General features: G+C 44.2%; 1 protein-coding gene across 2 annotated transcripts in view, besides 2 other annotated features; it reads left to right on the forward strand.

Moving 5' to 3' along the window:
* Window positions 1–21898, forward strand: part of CLSTN2 (calsyntenin 2) — a 642213-nt gene that overhangs the window by 603143 nt on the left and 17172 nt on the right. For both annotated transcript variants that reach the window (NM_022131.3, XM_017007022.3), the window contains exons 10-12: window positions 8188–8354; window positions 18186–18334; window positions 20313–20530. In NM_022131.3, coding sequence (NP_071414.2) covers window positions 8188–8354; window positions 18186–18334; window positions 20313–20530 — 534 coding nt within the window. The remainder of the gene's footprint in view (window positions 1–8187; window positions 8355–18185; window positions 18335–20312; window positions 20531–21898) is intronic.
* Window positions 2084–2143: an enhancer, noted in NCBI's record as "active region_20617". NCBI's record gives its function as "activates an Ori minimal core promoter by ATAC-STARR-seq in GM12878 lymphoblastoid cells {active_cell/tissue: GM12878}" and the evidence as "EXISTENCE:reporter gene assay evidence [ECO:0000049][PMID:35858748]".
* Window positions 2204–2253: an enhancer, noted in NCBI's record as "active region_20618". NCBI's record gives its function as "activates an Ori minimal core promoter by ATAC-STARR-seq in GM12878 lymphoblastoid cells {active_cell/tissue: GM12878}" and the evidence as "EXISTENCE:reporter gene assay evidence [ECO:0000049][PMID:35858748]".

The raw sequence follows: 21898 nt of genomic DNA on the forward strand, positions 1-21898 counted from the left end.
TACTTAACAAATAAGGCAGCAGGATGTAGAGAAGCTGTTTCTAAATATTAGAGCCTGTAAATAGACAGATGCAGAATCCTCACTGTGGCTTTTGGGAAAAGCCAAGGGAAAAGCCAAAGCAAAGAATAGGAAGGGTCAAAAAGGGATAAGAAGGCAGAAATAACCCCTGAGAGTTGCAGTAAGCAGTAACGTACGATTTGTGGGTATAGGGAAACTGGAGCCTCATGTGGTCCTGAGATCATGTGGTTGCACATTTTCAGGTCATTTTCTTCTGCCAGACAACAGCGTTAGTACAGAGGCTTGGAGTGCATGCCTTCATTTAATAAGCTTGGTCTAATTTAGTACAAACTTCTCTTAATAAAGTCTGTGTTTAAATTATCCTGAGTCCCTAGGGTGTCTACAGCTGGAAGAAAGAGGCACATGCTAGCAGAGTCTGCCTTACATTCAGGTCATGTTTTCCAAGGAGTTCTTCATGAAGCTCCAGTCCTACAGGATACCCTTTCACAAAAAGGCCAAGGTCAAGTCGGGGAAACAGGATAAGCCATTCCCAAACCACCATATTTGAGAGTCACAATGCATGTTCACTTATTAAAGGCTCTCAAAAGTACTCCAGTAAAGCAATCTGTTTGACTTTGATTCAGGTTCCTCAATCTTATGCAGCCATAGAACTCACTCTGTGAAACATCTTAAAGGAGTTATTAATGCAGTTCTTCCCTATTAGGTCAAGAGTTTGCAGGGGGCAAGGGCTAGCTGCTCTGAGAGATCCTCTCCTCTGCCTTCCTTGACTTCAGGATCTATAGAAGGTTAATAATTAATGTTTGTTAAATTATATCCTATTCTTGAGGCTACTTTGACAACTTCAGGATCTATAGAAGGTTAATAATTAATATTTGTTAAATTATATCCTATTCTTGAGGCTACTTTGACAAAGGTATGTGGCTCATGTTCTGGCACACACAGAGGTAACTAAAAAGATGTCTCTTAACATTGTCTATATTAAAAATCAAGAAAAAATTGTTTTAGGTCCTGGAGTCAATTTGATATGGGGGTGCATTTGGTGTGAAGATGATACAGATTAAAATCAAGTTTAAAGTTCAGTGAATCATGTCTGGAAACAGAGTATCACTGAGTTATAATTTTAACTTTGTATCAATTTTGAAGATGTTATTAATTAGAAGATTTGATGAGGGTCTGAAAGCAAAAACAGTATCGTCTCTGAGATACTCAGTGGGAGAGGGGAAGAGACCCTAAAAAACAAGACAGAAAACTCACCTGATGCATCCCATCCTGGGGTTTCTTGGCACCTTGCTCTCTATCACTGACTGCCAAGTCTGAGTTGTACGCAGCCAGTGCAGTGCTGAGCATCTTACATGTGTTCTCACTTAGTCCTCACAACCTGATGCATAGGCATAAGTATGACCCCCATTTTGCCAATGAGGAAACTGGGATTCAGAGGTAAGTACCTTGCTGCGAGTCATGTAGAGCTGGACTTGAATGCAGGTCTATGCCACCAAAGCCCTCGCCCCTATGTATACTGCTGGACCACCTCAGCCAAGTAAGGAAGGCCAGAGGATTCCGGATTTACCCAAACTCCCTTGGCATTTTTCACACAGATTGAGCAGAGTCAATCTGAGGACTAAAGATTGACAGGCCCATCAGACATCATGTTTAGTAGGGGGAGGGGTGAATTTGGAGTCAGTAGAGAATTCTAGAACCTTCCTACTGCTGCTTATTTGCTCTAGGTCTTTGAAGTCAGTATCTTCCTTTTTCAGGCCCTTAGTTCCTTCACGTGAAGAACAAAGCAACATTCTGGATGATAGATGAAAGCCCTTCCAACTCCACGAGTTTAGGTTCTCAACCCCAGAGAGCTGACATTTGTTGTCATCGCTAAGTTGTATGTTTCATTCACTGTACTGCTATATAAATATGTGCTGGAAAGCCTGCAGAGGCAGAGTCATAAAAATGAAAGGGTTGAGAAAGCCTGCTGGGAGTGTGCCATGGCCAGCCGTGATGACAGGTCATCTGTCCCCACAAGCCACCTGCAGCCTACAGCTGTGTGAGCATCCCCCGGGATTGTGTGGACCGAGTTTTAAAGCTGCACTTATAGGGGTCTATTACACACTTCACTTAGTCTTTGCATTCCACAGGTATCTACATCACTGAAATGAGGAAATGAGAGAAAGCGAGATTTCAGATGGTCTCGTTATTTGCATTGCTTAAAATTGACACCCAAGCATCCATGAAATTGTGTTCATCAAGGGGCATCCCCAGGAAACAGCCATACACAGAGCAGCATCCAACCCCAGCAAGAGGATTCATGGCCCCCAGTCCTTTCCATGAGTTTCTTAGACTAAATAGCCATGGGAATGACAGCTGGAAAGACCAGCAGCATCCTGAACACACTTTGCACAGGAAGAGACTTAGTATGTTCACACTACATAGATGCGTGCATATTTTTACCTCAAAATAGAAGAGGTAGACACACTGGTTCAAAAGCTGTATTTATCATGTGTGAGCCCCACCTCTCAAATGAAAGGAATCTGGGGGAATGAGTGTGTAGCTCTTCATTCCTGATGCAAACTCCGACTCAGAATAAGACAGTCTGCATTAAATTGTGTTTGCTAAATACAACTGTTTTTTAAGACAACCATGTATTCCAGCAACCTTAACACCAGTTTCTGGGAGTTGCTGCTGAAGCCATTCTGTGTCCACAGAGCCCACTATAACTGAATATTTTCCCCCAGCATTGAGTCAGTCCCAACCCATCCCCCTCCAAGAAATTCCCCCTTGAACCTTCCAAGCCACATCTCATTGTCTGGCATGTAGGCCAAAGGCTTGGAAGCAAGCTTAGGAGTTTGAATCTTGGCTTCACTCACTTCTGGTTATGTGGCTTTGGTCAAGTTACCTAACTTTGAAAACCTCATCTATTAAAGTTTTAAGTGTGGCAGATAAGAATCTCAATACACAAATTTAAAAATTGTCTTTCTCACATCCAGCCTTGTTTCAGTTCAAGTCCCCAGTCAACCTGAGTGGGGGAGATTTAAGTGCTGCTAATTTACAATTATTCATTTTCTGTAGGGTGCTTGGCTGATTGCAGGGAGATTTGCAAAGTGCTAGAGTTTTCAGCGGAGCCTCCAGGAACTTTTCCATGCATTGTGGAAATTGTGCTCACCAGTTCTGATTCTCGGTCACTAATGGTCTGTCAGAACTGGCAGCTGTCGGGATTACCTTACTTAGGGGGCACACAAATATTTCTGCTGCTTCTCATGCTTTCTCTGTAGGAACATCCGTGGTCCATCTGCCTAGATGTACCAGGCCAGCATTCCTTGTCGGCATCACCCCTGCCAGGGCTCAGCCCAGGAAGCAGGCTTCAGATGTCTCTGCTCTGCACCTCGGATGTCTTCGCCCCTTCCCTGCCACAGTCACACACCCACCTCCATGTCTAGGGTGTTCTTTATGACTCTGGGAGGAGGCCAGATTCTCTTATTCTGTTTTTCCCCCAAAGGCTGATCTATACGCAGACCTCCTCCACCCTCCTCATGGTTTAGGCTTCTGGAAACCACACCAGGCAGAGACTCAGCTCCAGGCCCCTTCTACTCTTCTCTCTGCCATGACCCTCCCTGCGACAATGAGCTAGAAGCCAGGGTGTATTTAGATGGAAGGTAAGGTAGAAGAAACAACTAGGGAAAAATTAAAAGAACAGAAGCTAAGACTTCAAAAATACTGTCCCTCCACTTAAGGATTAAGTAAAATAGCATGTGAAAGAACTTGTCATGTTTCAAGGGCCTAACAAATGATGGTTATTTTTTTTCCCTCTTACCTGTTGGACACATTGCCTATATCAATTGTTTGGAAATGAATCATATCCTGCCTTAGAACATCTATCATACTGGCAATTTACTCATATTTTTATTTTATTTTCAGTGTCAATATGTTATTCTCTCAAATCCATGTAAGCTCCTGAAGACCATGGTTCACATCTTAAATTAACTGAATCTAACAGAAGGCTAGTCATACAGAAAATGCTTTAAAAATGGGTGCAGATCTAGCATCAGGAATCCAAAATCATGTTTGCAAACATTTAAGGAAGATTCTTTATGGAAAAAATCAGGTTAAGATGATTCATAAGCATGTTTATGTCTAATTGTTAACCAACAGAGGAGTCACGTGGCCTATGCAGCCCATGCAGACACCCTAGATATTCAAAGGAAAGATTTTTCAATATATCTATTATTTTTTTTTAAATCCTGCATCATAACCACCTGAGTGCAAATATATTTCAAATTTTATACTGGCCTCCTGTTGAAAAATGCTCATTGAATCAATTTCCTGGAGCCTTGTCACTGATAAATAGAGTGCATCACACATCTGATATTCTTGAGTCAAAAATATAGAACATGAGTGTATTTTGCTGAGAGAAGATGGCTTATAGGAAACTGTCTTAGCATTCAAGACAGTCACAAAGCTTGGCCTTTGAGGCTAAAGCTGCTGAGTGAGCAGTTGAAGAGGGTTAGAAGATAGATCCTAATGGGCTTTCTGTCAGTCTCATTCTAGGCCTGGTTGCCTGGCACCACCAGGAAACCTCAGCTGGTCCTGTGCATGGATGGATGTACTCACACTATAGGAACACACATTTTACCACTTTCTACCGGTGTGGCTTTTGGTCACCTACTTCCCCTCTGTAAGCCTAAATTTGTTCATCTATAACTATAGAATGAGTATCTACCTCACAACAGTTTTATGAAGATTCCATGAGATGATGTACCCTGAGGATATCACATGGTGTTGGGTACATATTGTATGCCCAGTAAATGATAGTAGTTGTTGTTGGATTTGCTGCTCCACGGAGGAGGAGGCTGTGAAGAGATGACCAACTGGATGCCCTGGAGAGGAGCAGCTCCACCATTCACACACAGGCTCACACCCTCCGCCTGCAGATCAACAGAGATGCCCTTTTGCTGGGACGGGAACATGCTAATGGCTTGAAGGAGTACTTTATGCATGGGGTCACTGAAGATTTAAATCAGAAGACCCCAGTTAGCTTTCCCATAGCCGTGGGCCATCTCAACTAATTCCTCAAAGCCAAATCTGTTTAGAACTTTTTGTAAACTGAGCACCTCAAAAGAAACTTATCCTTTATTTCCAAAGTGAAGATGTTTTGGGTGGCAAGTAACAACACTGTGGGTCAAAATGGCTCAAACCATAAAGATGGATGAGTGGCACCCCAGGCTGAGAACGTCCCAAGGCAGGGCAGAGAGCAGGGCAGCTCAGGCTCTGCTCTTCCCTGCTGGGGCTCTCCTGCCACTGCCCTTCTCCATGCAGGGCCTTGGTCATCACCAGTCTGCTGGCAAGATAGCTGCAACAGCCAGCCTCCCATCTTCCCAGAACTGTGTCCAGGAAAGAGAGCAAGAATTTGTTCCAGAAACTTTCAGAAGAGAAAAAATGGAAGCTTTTTATACAGAGGTTGACAATCAACTTATTTCATGATACTGGCCTCAATTTGTTCTCATGATTCTTCCTGGATCAATTCCTGTAGCTTATTGAATGCCAGGTGATGGCTTCATCCTGGGTCCCAGGTCCACCCCTCAATCAATCACAGGTGCAATAGGGAAGGAATAATCTAATTAGCTTGAACTAAAGACAGTCTGTCTCTGGAGCTAAAGTCAATAACCCTAAACTTTAGGGCTGCCTTTGCAAGAAGGAAGGAGTGAGATGGATATTGGAAAGACAACCACAGGGCCCACCACTCTGCTGATATTCAAATCAACATCTCCTTCAATTCAAGCAAACAATTACAAAACGTCCGCTATGTGCCAGGCACAGTGCAGGATGCCAGAAAATTGCAAGATGCCCAGTGTTGTTGACAGGAATAAATGAGCTGACTTATGCAAAGTGCCTGTTGCAGCACTCAGCCCCTAACACTTGCTCAGTATTATCTTCATTAAAATGAATAATGCATGAGTGATACCTGCCATCCAGGAGAGAAAGACTCAAACTAATAAATTATAACAGTGTGCACAGAGTGACAAGAGTAAGCCTGCGGGTGGCACAAAGGATAGAGATCACAAGAGGAGTGTGCAAGAGGCCCAACCCCACAAGAAGCTATAGCCCAGTGGTTCTTAACCTTGACTTCACATTCGATTCACCTGAGAAGCTTTTAAAACTCCCCACACCAATTAAGTTAGAATCCCTGGGGATGTGACCCAGCACCAGGAATCAGTTTGTCTTTTTAAGGATCTCCAAATGATTAAAATGTGTAGCCAAGGCTAAGAACCACCATATTTTAGGCTACTGAGGACATAAACACCCACATGCAAACCATTAGCTAATAATGCCAGGTGGTGAAGGGTATGTTAAAATGAACGTTCTAAGGCTCAGGGTGGGGAGGGGGCAGGGTGGAGTAGGGCTCCAGGCAGAGAGAGGGTATGCAGGGGAGGGGTCCCAGGAGAGGGAGACACATGGTGGGCAGAGGGGGATCATGGAGGGCTTCCATGAGCATCAGGAAACAGGAGGCTTAAGGGGCCTTGAAGAACTCTGAGATTTGCCTAATCTAAGCTATTTAGGGGTGGTGTCTCAGTATAAAGAGGAATGGGTTTAAGCAAAGGCATATGGGCAGACATGGAAGGTATATGGATCTAGATTCAAACAGGAGAAAGAAAACTATAATTTCAACAGAAAAACCTTTCTAAAAATTATAAATATGGGGATTGGAGTAACATGGGATTAGTGGGTAAGAACTCTAAAGAGAACTCTAAAGAACATAGGAATAGATTATATAAGGACCATCCACTACCCTCAGGGCTGAGGTAGAGCACCCCAGAAAAAGCCAGCCCACCCCCAAGCTGAGGTCTAGACTTTGTTGGCACAGCATGGCTTGAAGAATAGCAGAGAAGTTGCAGGGGTGTCATTTGTTGGAAGTCTGGCCTCTAGAGAGCCAGAGAAGACTTTCACAGAAGGTGTCCCACTGGAGCACACACTGTTAGCAACTGCTGGCAGCAAAGAGGGCTGGGGAAGCTGCTGGCCAGGTGTTGCAAGAGCCAGGCATTGGGGAAGCTGAAGGAGCCACCAAGAGAGCCCAGGAGAACCTGGAGGCAAAACCCAGAAGTGTGCCCTAGGAGCAAACAGAGGCCCAGAGAGCTTATGAAACCTTCCCAGGAAACTAGCAAAGCTGGAATTCAACCCAGGCCCATCTTTTCTATGCGTTGTTCTTCTTCTCTGAACAAACAGTACAAGATCCAGGCTGGGAAGGTTGCTCAGAGATGGAAGGAGCCTGTGCTCAGTAAAATCAGTGAGGAAGGTCTCCTAGGGAAGGCGAGGCTTCAAATGGACCTCAGAGATCCGATTTGGAAAACCAGGGAGAAAAAAGGAGGGAGTGGATTCCAAGCTGGCATGGCAACACAAGCACTTGGAACACTTGCACATGGGTAAAAGTGGACCTGAGCTCCCATAGGACTTAGCACAGCCAGGAGAGAGTATGACAGTAAAAGAAAGCAGGCAATGAGAGGAAAGCCAAAGGGAGAACCACAGGAATCAGGGAAGTCCTTTTATGTAAAAGGCCTTGAATTTAAGCACGGGTGGAATCAACACATTGTGAGAAAGCCAGAGCTCATAAATGCAGCATTTCTAGTATTCCTCAGTCTCATGCCAAGCTCTCAGTGGAATGTAGGGAAGCAAATGCGAGCTTTGAGGTCAGACAGACCAGAACTAGAGCTCCAGCTGCAGTGTTTAGCTGTATATGTCCTGGGGCAACTACCTTAATGTTTTTGAGTCTCAGGGCTCTGCACCTGCCAGGTGAAAACAATGCCACCACATCATTGCAGGCTTGTTCAGATGAAGTCCCTGACAGACTGGCACAAGGCAGGCCTGAAGTTTAATCAGTGACACCTTCTCCCTATTTTCACTCACGAGAGCCCTCCAGTCTCCTAAGACAGTGTGCCCTTGAAAATAACCTTTAAAATTCAGAAATGCCAGGATTCCTAAATCTGGTGCAGCCAGGGAATGCCAGGGTATTAGCAGCGTATAACTTCTTACTGAGATTCTGGCTACTGTGTTCATCACTCAGAAGGAAAAGCTCAGGTTCAGGGGACACACAATCAAGGCGTCTTTGGCTGCATGGCCAAGTGGTGCCTTGAGGTGCTGTTTCCTACCCAGTCTTCACAGGGCAAATGATGGTGTTTGTTTTTTCAGGAGGAGAAGTCACCAAACCACAGTTTGCTCAGTTCTTTCATGGAAGCCTGGCCAGTCTCACCATCCGCCCTGGCAAAATGGAAAGCCAGAAGGTGATCTCCTGCCTGCAGGCCTGCAAGGAAGGGCTGGACATTAATTCCTTGGAAAGCCTTGGCCAAGGAATAAAGGTAAGGCAGGAGCTGGCATCACTCCCAATAAGACAGGGATTCATGATGCCCAGCCTGCACAGCGCCAGCACACGCCAGGAAATGGAGCTTCCTGGAACGTTACACAGAAATGGCAACAAGGCAAAGGTGCAGCCACGAGATGGGGGTTCCGGAGGGAGATTAGTAACCATGACTTCCACAATGGGCTTCTGCTGCCATCTTCTGAAACTCCTAGATCAAGCCCTTGTGTATAATCAGTCCATTACCCAAAAGCAGGCACATGTTCAATGTCCACCTGGAGGAAGTTGTTGTATTTCATTTGTTTGTGCGTTAGTTGGCTGCTCTGTTGTTTATTTGGCTAAAGGAACCAAAGGATGCAAGGATGCACATAAAAAGTAAACAAAAACTTAGGACCTTGTGAAATACAAATTAAAAAGGAAAGCGAAAACCTGGGTGAGGTAGAATGAGAAAGCAGGTATGGAGGTCATTCTGTCTTACATTGTCACTTCAAGGCACAAGAAACATGGGCTGCGCATGGTGGCCTGTGGCTCACGTCTGTAGTCCCAACACTTTGGGAGGCTGAGGCAGGTGGATCACAAGGTCAGTAGTTCGAGACCAGCCTGACCAACATGGTGAAACCCCATCTCTACTAAAAATACAAAAATTAGCCACACATGGTGGCGTGCACCTGTAATCCCAGCTACTCAGGAGGCTGAGGCAGGAGAATCATTTGAACCCAGGAGGCGGAGGTTGCAGTGAGCTAAGATCGCACCAATGCACTCCAGCCTGGGCAGCAGAGCCAGACTCCATCTTAAAAAAAAGAGGAAGAAGAAGAAGAAGAAAAAGAAAAAAAACATGAACAGTTCATGATTTGTATTGTTTATGCAAAATAGAAATATTCAAGTGATCTCAGAGAAGCAAAGCTTCTTCTGACTGAAGCTTCTCTCGTTCTCTCATTTGAGAGAAGCTCCTCCCAAAGAGGGCAGGGAGGGATGTGACAGACTATGGCCTCAGCAGGCACCCCAACAGCCAGGGTCACTTTCTAACCTCACCTGGACTTACAGAGCGAGCACTTGTTGGCACCTGCCCATGAGGTCCTGAATAAAGAGCAGAGCCAATATCACTGTAGCCCCCACTCAATCATAGTGGACCCCAGTGTGAAAAAACAGTCCCTCGGCCTCCTCTGGAAGTTGGAACAGACCAGCCTGTGCCTCCTGGAGCACAGGACAGCCCCATGAAGCCCCAGAAGCTATGAGGGTTTCTGTCCTTGGCCATTTCCCCAGAGAATGTGACAAAAGCAGAGGTTTCTCAGCTGGCCTAACATCCTTGACCCAGTACTGCCCATGGGCAGCTCTGCCCTGCCTTGGGCCTGCCTCTCCTGGACAGGGAGTCACCACTCCAGTAGAAATTTCCAGATCAGTAGCCTACTGCTAGTCAAGCTCTGGTGCTAGGTGCCCTTGGAAAAGCTGGTGGTCTGAGAGTATTCTTTAAATTGCAGCCACTTCCATAATCGTTCCATGGATATGCTAGTATTCTGTTATAGGCTAGTTTCTGAGATATGAAAAGAAATGTTCTGAGGAACTCAGTGACCCAAGCAGACATTTGTAATCCAGTTGATGACTACCACAATAATTATGAACACTAACATTTCCTGAGGGTCTCCCAAGTACCAGACACTGTTTGTTCTAAACGTTTTATGGGTATTGATTCCCAGAACACTTGTACATGAGGAACGAAAGACTGAAGGAGATGGGAACTTGCGTAAGATCCCAGAGTTAGTGATGAGTAGATTCAGTCCCACTCCAGAGATCCAGAACCTTGGAGACTGGCAGTCAGGGAAGCCTCCTTGGATGAGGTGATGAGGCCTGAGTAGAATGTTTAAGAATAGGTAGGAACCAGCTAGGAAAAAGGCAGTAGTGGAAAGGGGATGGGAAAGAGGGAAGTCATTCCAGGCAGATCCAAAAGTGTGAGTGATGAGAGAGGGCTGAGGAATAGCACAGTATTCACTAGAACTTCAACAAAGCCAGTGTTATGAGTCCCAAACTGCAGGAGGAAAAAGATGGAAGGTGCCAGAGAGGTAGGCAGAGGCCATATCAGAGCCCACCTATTAACCATGTTTAGGTGTTTACGTTTTTTTCTGTCAACAATGGGAAGCCACTGAAGGCTCAGGCAAGGGAGCATGATCTCAGCATATGTGGGGTTTAGGATGCTCACTCTGGAGACTGGGTAGCATGGGGAAGATGGGAGGAGTACAAAAGTCATGGCAAGGCAAGATTGACTTTCCAAAACAATGTTTCATGGATTAGATACACACACAGAGTTGCTCTCAATAGCTAATCACTTGTCATTGGGGCAAGCTCAAAAGACCATCTCATATTGGAAAGGCCAGTCTTGACGTACTGTTTGTGTTGCTTCCTTAGGGTTTTGTCAATCCAGTGATGCAAAAATCTGTCTTCCTGATGTCTTCTCTTTTTCTGATTCTAAATTTACTCTTTGCATCTGCGTAGATCTTCTCTGCTCTGAACTGTTCCAGGCAGGCACAGTTCCAGGGTACTAGGCCCCATAGAGCAAAAACACAAAGATGCTGGGCTCAAAAGTCATGCCTTTTAAAAACTATAAATTAAAGAACCATAGCAATTTCTAGAGTCATCATAGCCTATGAAAAGAGGAGGTGCTAAAATAAGTGGCACAAAAAACTGTGGGGACTGAGGAGGCTAATCTGATTTTTCAGGATACTGAAACTTTTTATAACCTTTTTATAACCAAGCCACTGCAAATGATCCTCTTCCATTCCTAGGGCATGGCTGGTAAGAACTAGAGCACCGTGTGAGAAGTTAATAAGACGCCCAATTTATGGAGCACCCACTGGGGGCTATTGTATGTTCATTATCCCTACTTCTCACAACAAATTAAATACTATGACCCCATTTCAAAACTAAGGGGACTGGGGCTCAGGGATTTGTCCAAAATCAGTTCATGCTCTTTCTTCCATATCAGCAACTCAGATTAGAAGACATTCTTGAAAATCATTAAAACAAATTTCTTTCCTTTCCTCCCTCCCTTTACTCCTCATGTCATTTCTGAATAATGACTACTATTTTATTGGACAGTTACTGCCCTCCTCCCACCTCTCTGGCTGGTCGAGAGAATTGAGGCCCTTTTGTGATTAAGGAAATTCTCTATCTGCTCACAGGGACAAGCCCATGTTTCTTGCTTTACCTGTCTTCTTCTGAATCATGCATATTTATGAATATTTCTCCAGCATGTCTGGAGTCCTAAAATGGTTTAGTGGCTGCTGTATTGTATCCATACAAGATACTGTGGAATCACCACATTCCTGAGTAATACCCTGTTCTGATTTTCATAGCACAATCCCTGCCAATTTTTCATCTCCATCATGTGGAAGAGTGGGAAAGAGCAAGAACTTTAGAACTAGACACTCCTAGGTTCAAATCACTGCAGGAGGAAAAAGGTGGAAGGTGCCAGAGAGGTAGGCAGGGGCCATATCAGAGCCCACCTATTAACCATGTTTAGGTGTTTACGTTTTTTTCTGTCAACAATGGGAAGCCACTGAAGGCTCAGGCAAGGGATCATGATCTCAGCATATGTGGGGTTTAGGATGCTCACTCTGGAGACTGGGTAGCATGGGGAAGATGGGAGGAGTACAAAAGTCATGGCAAGGCAAGATTGACTTTCCAAAACAATGTTTCATGGATTAGATACACACACAGAGTTGCTCTCAATAGCTAATCACTTGTCATTGGGGCAAGCTCAAAAGACCATCTCATATTGGAAAGGCCAGTCTTGACGTACTGTTTGTGTTGCTTCCTTAGGGTTTTGTCAATCCAGTGATGCAAAAATCTGTCTTCCTGATGTCTTCTCTTTTTCTGATTCTAAATTTACTCTTTGCATCTGCGTAGATCTTCTCTGCTCTGAACTGTTCCAGGCAGGCACAGTTTCAGGGTACTAGGCCCCATAGAGCAAAAACACAAAGATGCTGGGCTCAAAAGTCATGCCTTTTAAAAATTATAAATTAAAGAACCATAGCAATTTCTAGAGTCATCATAGCCTATGAAAAGAGGAGGTGCTAAAATAAGTGGCACAAAAAACTGTGGGGACTGAGGAGGCTAATCTGATTTTTCAGGATACTGAAACTTTTTATAACCTTTTTATAACCAAGCTTGGTTATAAAGGCTTGGTTATAAGCCTTTTTATAACCAAGCCACTGCAAATGATCCTCTTCCATTCCTAGGGCATGGCTGGTAAGAACTAGAGCACCGTGTGAGAAGTTAATAAGACGCCCAATTTATGGAGCACCCACTGGGGGCTATTGTATGTTCATTATCCCTACTTCTCACAACAAATTAAATACTATGACCCCATTTCAAAACTAGGGGGACTGGGGCTCAGGGATTTGTCCAAAATCAGTTCATGCTCTTTCCTCCATATCAGCAACTCAGATTAGAAGACATTCTTGAAAATCATTAAAACAAATTTCTTTCCTTTCCTCCCTCCCTTTACTCCTCATGTCATTTCTGAATAATGACTACTATTTTATTGGACAGTTACTGCCCTCCTCCCACCTCTCTGGCTGGTCGAGAGAATTGAGGCCCTTTTGTGATTAAGGAAATTCTCTGCTCACAGGGACAAGCCCATGTTTCTTGCTTTACCTGTCTTCTTCTGAATCATGCATATTTATGAATATTTCTCCAGCATGTCTGGAGTCCTAAAATGGTTTAGTGGCTGCTGTATTGTATCCATACAAGATACTGTGGAATCACCACATTCCTGAGTAATACCCTGTTCTGATTTTCATAGCACAATCCCTGCCAATTTTTCATCTCCATCATGTGGAAGAGTGGGAAAGAGCAAGAACTTTAGAACTAGACACTCCTAGGTTCAAATCACTGCAGGAGGAAAAAGGTGGAAGGTGCCAGAGACGTAGGCAGGGGCCACATCAGAGGCCACCTATTAACCATGTTTAGGTGTTTAAGTTTTTTTCTGTCAACTGATTATTAGCTGGGTGACCTTGGGCAAGACACGTTAATCCTTTAAGCCCGAATCTCTTGTGTATAAAATAAATTGATATTATTTACCTTGTAGTGATGTTGTAAGAATTTAATTATACATCTAAATTATATATTACATATAAATATATATTATATATTTAAATATATATTATATATTTTAGTGTATACATAATATATATCCTAGCAAACCTAATAGACTCTCAACAAATTATAGCTCCCTTTTGTGACAGAAGAACTTCTAAAGTGGCAAATCTTCATCTGGCCCCACTCAGAGAAATGGTTCAGCTGAATCTGTAAGTCAGAAAAATCAGAGTCCAAATTTACTTAATATGGACCATGGGCAGGCAGGTGTCATAGGGAGCAGCAGGGTTCCTATCAAGTCATAGCCAGCCTTCTCTCAAGGAACAGGCCAGGGCTTTGAGCAGGGACTTCCCTGATGGTCCAGCCTGCTGTGGGGCTGCAGATGCCAGTCGAATCTCTAAGAGAAGTCTCTAATAAGAAGACCATTCTGCAAGGGCTATCTGTCTAGCACCTTCTTGGCTCAACGAAAGGCTATGGTCACAGCACAGATACCCAAGGGCGAGTGAGCAATGCCACCCTTTGCTGGGTCCCCTAGCATGTCACCATCTCCTGCCCTGGTAGAGATGCAAGTACAAACAGGTATCTTGTTTAATCAGAAACCCACCCACAGAGCTGGGAATACCGCAGTTTAAAAAAAAAAAAAAAAAAGAACACCCAAAACCTGCTCTGGAGGTTTTATTGACCCTGCAAGAACTATGCTGATGGCTAGGCCAGTGCCCACATTCATGCGCTGTGACAGACCTCCCAATGCTGTGGCACAGACCAGGGTATTAACTGGAGATCCAACACACTCTCCTGGTCTCTCTACAGGTGGCTGCAGAGAGATTGTGCCCTCTGCTGATTGCCATAGGATACTGTTTATCCATCCCTCTAGAAGAACCTCTTGATTTTCCTAGGCAGCCCTCATGTGAGGCTCAGAGACCAACCTCCACTGCAGACCTATCATCTACCTCATGCTTTCGATGTGCTAGACCCTGCAGTGATGCTGAGGAAAAGTCAGTAGCCCCTGCCCTTGAGGTGCTCACAATCTGCTGGAGGATGCAGACGGACAGATAGCAACAGCACAAGACTCTGCTATAGGAGGATGGTGCAGGGGATGAGGCTGGAGAAGAGGAGCAGAAAAACCTTTTAAAACATAGATGGTATTTGTAGAACAAGGACCTTGGGTCTTCTCAAATCTGAAACTGATGACTTGCGAATACCTCATAACTAATCGTGACTCACTAGCGTGAGGCAGCTCCAGGAATAAGCACTCTAAGCTGGTGAGGCCTTCCAGGCAAGAGAGATGCCAACTCAGACACTGACTGTGGCATCAACCATGCATATGCCTGGGGGCTCCAAGATCTAGCACCAGAGGGTGGTGCTCTTGGCCTGATGTCACGGCTCAGTGAGACACCGCTCCTCAGGACTTGGAAGGACAGAAGAGAATTGTGTCACAAGGGTACAAGAGCAGTGAAGGCTGGGGCACAAAGACTCAGTGCTGGCATAATTACAATAGTAAGAATGATCATCCAAGCTATCATATATTTAATATCTTGTAAGTGCTAGAAACTTTATATATATTATCTCATTTAAGACCCACACAGGTAGATATTAATTTCCCCATTATTTAAATGAGGAAATGAAGTCTAAGAGGGAAAAGGAAATACTCCAAAGTTGCATTTTGTACTAGAACTGGAATATTACAGTCCACAAAGCCCATGCTCTTTTAAAGATGCCTTATGACCTTGGGGAAGTGAGAATCAGGCCTGGGAAGTGCTAAATTTTCCCAAACAGGCTAAGCTGTTACAGTAACATATGATCCCCAAACCTCAAGCTTCACTGGCTTAACATGACAAGTTTAGTTTTCTCTTATACTCAGTTAGGGAGGTGGGGTGGGGTTTCTGCATAGAATGCTGCAAGCCACTGAAGTGGAGGAAAAAAAGAGGCTCGAGCATCTTTCAGGATCTTTCACTGCCTCAGCTCAGAATTGCCACACCTCCCTTCCTCTCCTGCCCATTGGCCAGAGGTAGTCATGTGACTCTGGCCACCTGTGGTACAAGGTGACTGAGAAGTGTAGCCTCCGCAATGCCCAGGAAGGAAAGGAGAACAGGGTTTGGTGAGTACTGATAATGACTCCCACAGCGCTTCACTAAAAAGACAAGTGAAAGAAAAAAGTCCTTTTGGGGAGTGACAGGAGATGATAGTGAGTAAAATGTAGGCTCGAGAGCCTTCACTCATTTGTCTAACAGGGGCTTTCAGAACACTAAGGCTAAGTTCTGGGATTCAGGGATAAGAGGCAGAGTCCCTGTGCTCAGGGGCTACTGGCCACTGTACTATAATAGTGGTGTTACCATTTTGTAAATGATATAGGAGAAAGGCACCAAAGCGCAGTGGGGACCAAAATGAGAGAAGCTGGGAGGCCTTATGAGTAGGTACCAATGAAGTACACATGTGATGGTCGAAGGTGACAAAGATTGAGCTATCAGTTGGCTAGGGGACACCATGCAAGGGATTTAGGTGGTTCAGTGTCAACAATAGTGCTCATGAGACATCCAACTCCTGTTTCAGTCCAGACACAGAACAGAACACCCTTATAAAGACATTCAAGTCAGATCAGGGAAAAGTTAATATACATTTTTCCTTAAACCTATGAAAAGATATACTCAGATCCTCATACTAAGAAAAATACAAACTTAAACTACACTAAGATGGGATTTGTCATTTATCAGATTGGCAAAAATCCTGACATCTGATGGCATACTGTATTGTTGAGGAATTGAGACAAGCTGCATTCATACCCTGGTGGAAGGAGTATGTGTTGATATAATCTCTAGCAATGGAGAAGTTGGCAACATTTATCCAAGTTAAAAGTGCATATACTCTTTGACCTAGCAATTTCACTTGTAGTGATGTATCCTACAGATGTGTTTGCACAAGATTATTCCTTCTGACACCGTCAGTAAAAGATGACAAATAACCCAAATGTCCATATTGGGAAACTGGTTTTAAAGATTACAGTTTATCTATACAATGGAATACACCTACTAAAAAAGAATAAGGAAGCTTGTCATGTACTGATACAGAAAGAGCTCCAAGATATGAGCCAAGTGAAAAATAAAGTGTGATACATTATGTATGAGGTACTTTTGATATAAGAAAGAAAAAAATGGAAATCTATATTCACTGATTATATATTTATAAGAATACTTGAGTATAACTGTCAGGATAAGCTAAGTTATGCTACAGTAACAAATTATTTAATATCTAAGTGGCTTATACAACCAAATTTTATTTATTGCTCATACTTCATGTCCATTATAGATTGGCTGCAGCTCTGATCCATACCTCCCTCACTGTGAGATGCAAGCCGATGGACTAGCCCCTAAAGGAATGTTGCCAGTTTCATGGCAGAGAGAAAGGGATGTGGCAAACCATGAACTGGTTATTAAATCTTCCATAGCGTATGAATCAAACAATATTTCTGCCCACATTTAGTTGACCAAGCAAGTAACATGACCTCTGCTGAGTGCACAGGGCAAAAACATATATCCTGCAGGGAAGGGTACCATAAGTCATACGATCAAGCCTATTAACAATAGGGCAAACATGTATAAGTGTCCCACGGGAGGGAAAGCAACTAATTTTGAACAATAATGCAATTTACCACTAAGAAACTAACATAATAATGAGTACTTGTGGGATGGGACTGTGGAAACTGGGTGGATGGGAGATAGAAATGAGATAGCTACTTTTCACCTAGCACATGTGTACATTTGAACCATGTGAATATATTATCTATTCAAAAGGGTAAATACTTTTAAGTTAGGTAGCTACTTAAAAAAAATCTATGTCTCCCTTTCCTGTGCCATGAGCATTCGATATATACTCTGAATTCACAGATATGTTTCTGATATTTTATTGATAGCATTTCCTAATAATTCTTGCTCAAACGAGTGTCAAAGTCAATAATTCAGGGCAGTACAAAGGCAGTTTTCCCTGCCTCATTCCAAGAAGAGTAACTGCTGTGGGGACATGGAGAGGGCAAGGATCTATGTCCAGCTTGAGTACCCAAGTGACTCAGTGGGGAGAATCGCCGCTACATGGCCTTTGGCAAGTGTGGGATACCAGGGACTTTGGATGAAATGGATAGATAACAAACCCAGGGCTGCTGGCAGATGTGTAAGCAGCAGTTGTGTACAACTCATGGGAAACCAGAGTTTAGCACTTGAAAAGGAAGACAAAAAATTAGATCTGAGAGAGAAAGAAAGCCATTAACTGAAAAATGAGCTTGAAGGTTGGAAGCTAAGAAGATACGGCATGGGTCAGAAAATGGAGTGCAAGATGAATTTGGGGAGCAGTTCAAGGGCAAAGACAAAGACAGCAAAAGGAGTGAAAACGCAAGTTCTGAGTGGTCCAGACCACCCGGCTAGCACAGAGCATGGACCACTGTTCGCCAAGGGCTGGGCTGTGAGAGCACCGTGGCTGGGTTTTCAATATTCCTTCCTGTGGCTCAGACCGATATTACCAGGCACAGTCCCTGGAAAGACCTCATAGGAAAGGGCCGCAAAGCCCACCAGAGAGTAGGAGGAAATGCTTGAGAGTTTAAACACTATCATTTGTACACACAACTGTGTCACTGGCAGATGCTCTAGAGGTGTTTATGGTGACCCTTGGTGCCCTGTATGGACAGGAAGTGCTCCCATAAAACCATGTACATCACTGACCATTCTCTTCCATGATGCTCACTTTTGTCTTCCAGTATCACTTCAACCCCTCGCAGTCCATCCTGGTGATGGAAGGTGACGACATTGGGAACATTAACCGTGCTCTCCAGAAAGTCTCCTACATCAACTCCAGGCAGTTCCCAACGGCGGGTGTGCGGCGCCTCAAAGTATCCTCCAAAGTCCAGTGAGTGGACGCTGGTCAGCCTGGGGCCAACTGAGGCAGCAGTTGGGAAGGTCCCAACTGAGGTCCCTTGGGAATGTTCCCTCACAAAACAGGAGTTGCCTTTCGTCAGCTGTCCTCAACTTCTGCTATTCCTCTGAGGATGCCTCAAAGGATCTGTGTTCTTGTTTTCTTCCTAAGCAAGATGTTCTGTTGTTTTACCACCTTGAATCCACCTTTCTCTATCTTGTATCTTATCTAATGCCTAGAAGGTACTACTTTCTATAAATTCTCAGAGAGCTAGGAATTTGAAGTGATCTGGGTGTGCGTTTGAAGTGTTCTGATTTAAGGGCGCAGTGCGTGGTACACAGGAAGTCCTTGACAAATGTTTATTAAATTGAATTAAGTTAACCAACCCAGCTATGTAGAGTTCCTAAATCCCTTAGGTATGCCAGAAAAACAGAAGGCATGGTTCTTGTTTCCAAGGATCAGAATTAAATTAGAGGATTACTGAAGCCTTTGGACAACTCACTCACTGGCCTATCAAATCACTTCTCAGCCACAGTGGCTACCTTGGAGGGCTGCTAGGAGGGGGATCCCAGAAAATTCCTGGAAGGTAGAAGTGCAGTCATGCTGCACCTAGAGTCGGGAGAAGGACTCAGAAAGAGAGGAACAAGGGTGGGAAAGATGGATCTGCTGACTGCCACATTGTTGGAGCCTGGGACAGGCACCAGAAAAAAACCCCGCAGATGGTAGTTACATTCAATAGTTCTAGAACAATGGAGGGGTGCTCCACCCTTACAGGCTTAGGGGTAGGAAACAGGTACCTCCAGGTCGTTGCCACATTAGAGTGAAGATGAGAGAACAAATTGGCCTGCGTCCTGCTGAGACCAGGCTTCTGCAAACTGAAGAAAGGTCGGGAGTGCTGTGGGGTTGGCCTGGCACAAGTGGGAGAAAACTGGGAAGAGGAGGAGGCCACCACAGCTCCCACATTTCACCCACCCATAGAAGAGGATGGAGTAGCTCAGCATGGAATCCACCCAGACTACCATTTCCTTGAGAACTTTCCCAAGGCATGTAAGGTGATGGCTGTCACCAGCTGAACCCCACCTAGCACTCCCAGAGCATCTATCTGGCTCTGGGGTCCCCCGTTGTAACCTACATCTAGATGACCAGGGGAGAGGGCTAATGACATAATGCCCCCATGAGGTCTGACGAGAAGTTCAAATCAACCAGTGCTTACTGAGCTCAAACCATGATGCAAGCTCTGGTCAGCTTCTTTTCTATATATGTCTGCATTTAATCCTTTACTATAGGACAAAATTATTGTTATCTCCACTGTATAGATGAAGAAACTGAGGTTCACAGGAGTCAAGTGCCTTGTCCACATTTACCCAGCCCAGAAGTGTCAGAGCCAGGCCATGGATCCTTGTCTGTCTCAGACCTCGCTCTTTTGGTCACACCATTTCTGCCTCCCAGATAATTGTGTGGCAGTGTATCAGGAGAAAGGAGGATGATTACAATAGCACTTTGCTCTCACACCTAGAAAAGGCACACGTGTGTGATATCCACATAGAGATATATCGTATAAGCAGAGGCAGGAGAGTTTAGCCCTGGGGTCTCAATTAGTAAGACGGGTGTAACCAACCAGTTAGACAACAATTTGCTTACCAAATACTAAAGCACATAACAAGCAGTTGCTATCTAATTAATGTTGTCATTGATTTCTTTGTTAAAGGATAATGAAAGGTTTCATGGTTACGTGTTGCTCATATAGAAAATTCCCATTTCTCTCAGGAGCCAATCTTTCAAGTCCCTAGATCACTAGTGGTTTTGATTATAATGTGGCTTTAAATTTGAATGTCTGTTGACATCCTCAGAGACACTTACGCAGTCACGATGCCTTGTTAAGAACTGGAGGTGGCAACCCCTTGTTCCTGGCTGTATGACAGATGGTTTAATTGTTTGCTCATCAGTGCCATGACCGAGAATGTTTTCCCAGGTGCTTTGGGGAAGACGTATGCATCAGTATCCCTGAGGTAGATGCCTATGTGATGGTCCTCCAGGCCATCGAGCCCCGGATCACCCTCCGGGGCACAGACCACTTCTGGAGACCTGCTGCCCAGTTTGAAAGTGCCAGGGGAGTGACCCTCTTCCCTGATATCAAGATTGTGAGCACCTTCGCCAAAACCGAAGCCCCCGGGGACGTGAAAACCACAGGTACAGGTGCATTTGAGTTTGTGGGGAGGGTGGACCTTAATTTTTTACAGCCATGTGAAAACATACTTCAGAACAACAGCATTGTTCATGTAATGTATACATGGCTTAAATGTATACATGGCAGCGTAATGTATTATAGCAAAACAGACAAAGCAATAAACAAATGAAATGAATATGAGGTGAATGGATGGCTTAGCAATGAGGGATATGAGGTTGGAGGGAACGCATTTGTGCTAAATGGTAAGTGAAAAAATGCAAGACACAAAGTTACATAGTACCTACACATAGAATGATCTCAACCATTTAAGAAAAAAAAAAAAACACAGAAAAATGCCAAGAAGGACACACACCCTATGCTAACAGGGTTATTCTCTGAGAGGCATAACGAGAGCCCGTTTGTTTCTGCTTCCCTTCCCTTTCTGTAATTGCAAAAATGTTCTATAGTGGGCATGTGTTATTCTGGTAATCAGAAGAAAAGCTAAAGATATATAAAGAAAAAATATAGCTGCATCTTTATATATATAAAAGTTAGGTCTCATTCAGCAATATTACTCTAAGCTCTCAGGAAACTTTTAAGTTGTTATTTCCAACAACTTCATTATTGGGAAGGTTTTTCAGTGAAAGAGGAGTAATTTGAATTATCTACCAAAGAGAAACACTTAGTTATGCTGAAAGCTATAGTATATGCTGGTGGCGGGGGTCAGGGGGGCGGGGAAGGGAAAGAAGGAAACTGGGAAAGGAACAAGGGAGGGAGGGAAGAAAACCTCCCTTTTGTTACTCCGAGGGACGGGGGAAATATAAATTTCAGAAGTGTCCTTTGCTGCCTCTTCCAAGAGAATATATTCAACTCTCCCCTCCCCCTCCAAAAGCCACTGCTAATGATGTGCTGGTGCCTCTGGTCCTAAGTCCCTGAGGAGCTGCTGTTATAATAATCCTAATTACCTATTGCCTTAAACCACCCTGGTCCCTAGTGAAGGGGGTACTCAAGAGACAGCCCTTCTTAGCTCATAAAAAATAGATGATGTTTTACCACCTGTCCAGGCAGGGCAGTTTCCTGGTCACAGGCCAACATGCATTAGGTTGTATGATTGTCCCTCTTCCCCTGTTCTCATTTGTGGCTAAAATCAGAGAGAAATAAAGAAGAGCCTCTGACCTCAGTGGTTGCAGGCCATGACCAAGTGTCTGGATTTGCTACATCTGACACCAGCATACAGGCAATGCAGGGAAGAGCAATTATCTGGGTTCACATTTCGTCTTCTGTTTATGAGAGGTACAGGCAGAGCACATAGCCAAGTGTCCAAGCGCTATTATAAGTGCCTTTAAATTTTTACTCCTATTGTTGTTGGAATGGTCATTACTATGGATATC

This window comes from Homo sapiens, chromosome 3 (genome assembly GCF_000001405.40).
Source record: "Homo sapiens chromosome 3, GRCh38.p14 Primary Assembly".
Classification (NCBI taxonomy): domain Eukaryota; kingdom Metazoa; phylum Chordata; class Mammalia; order Primates; family Hominidae; genus Homo; species Homo sapiens.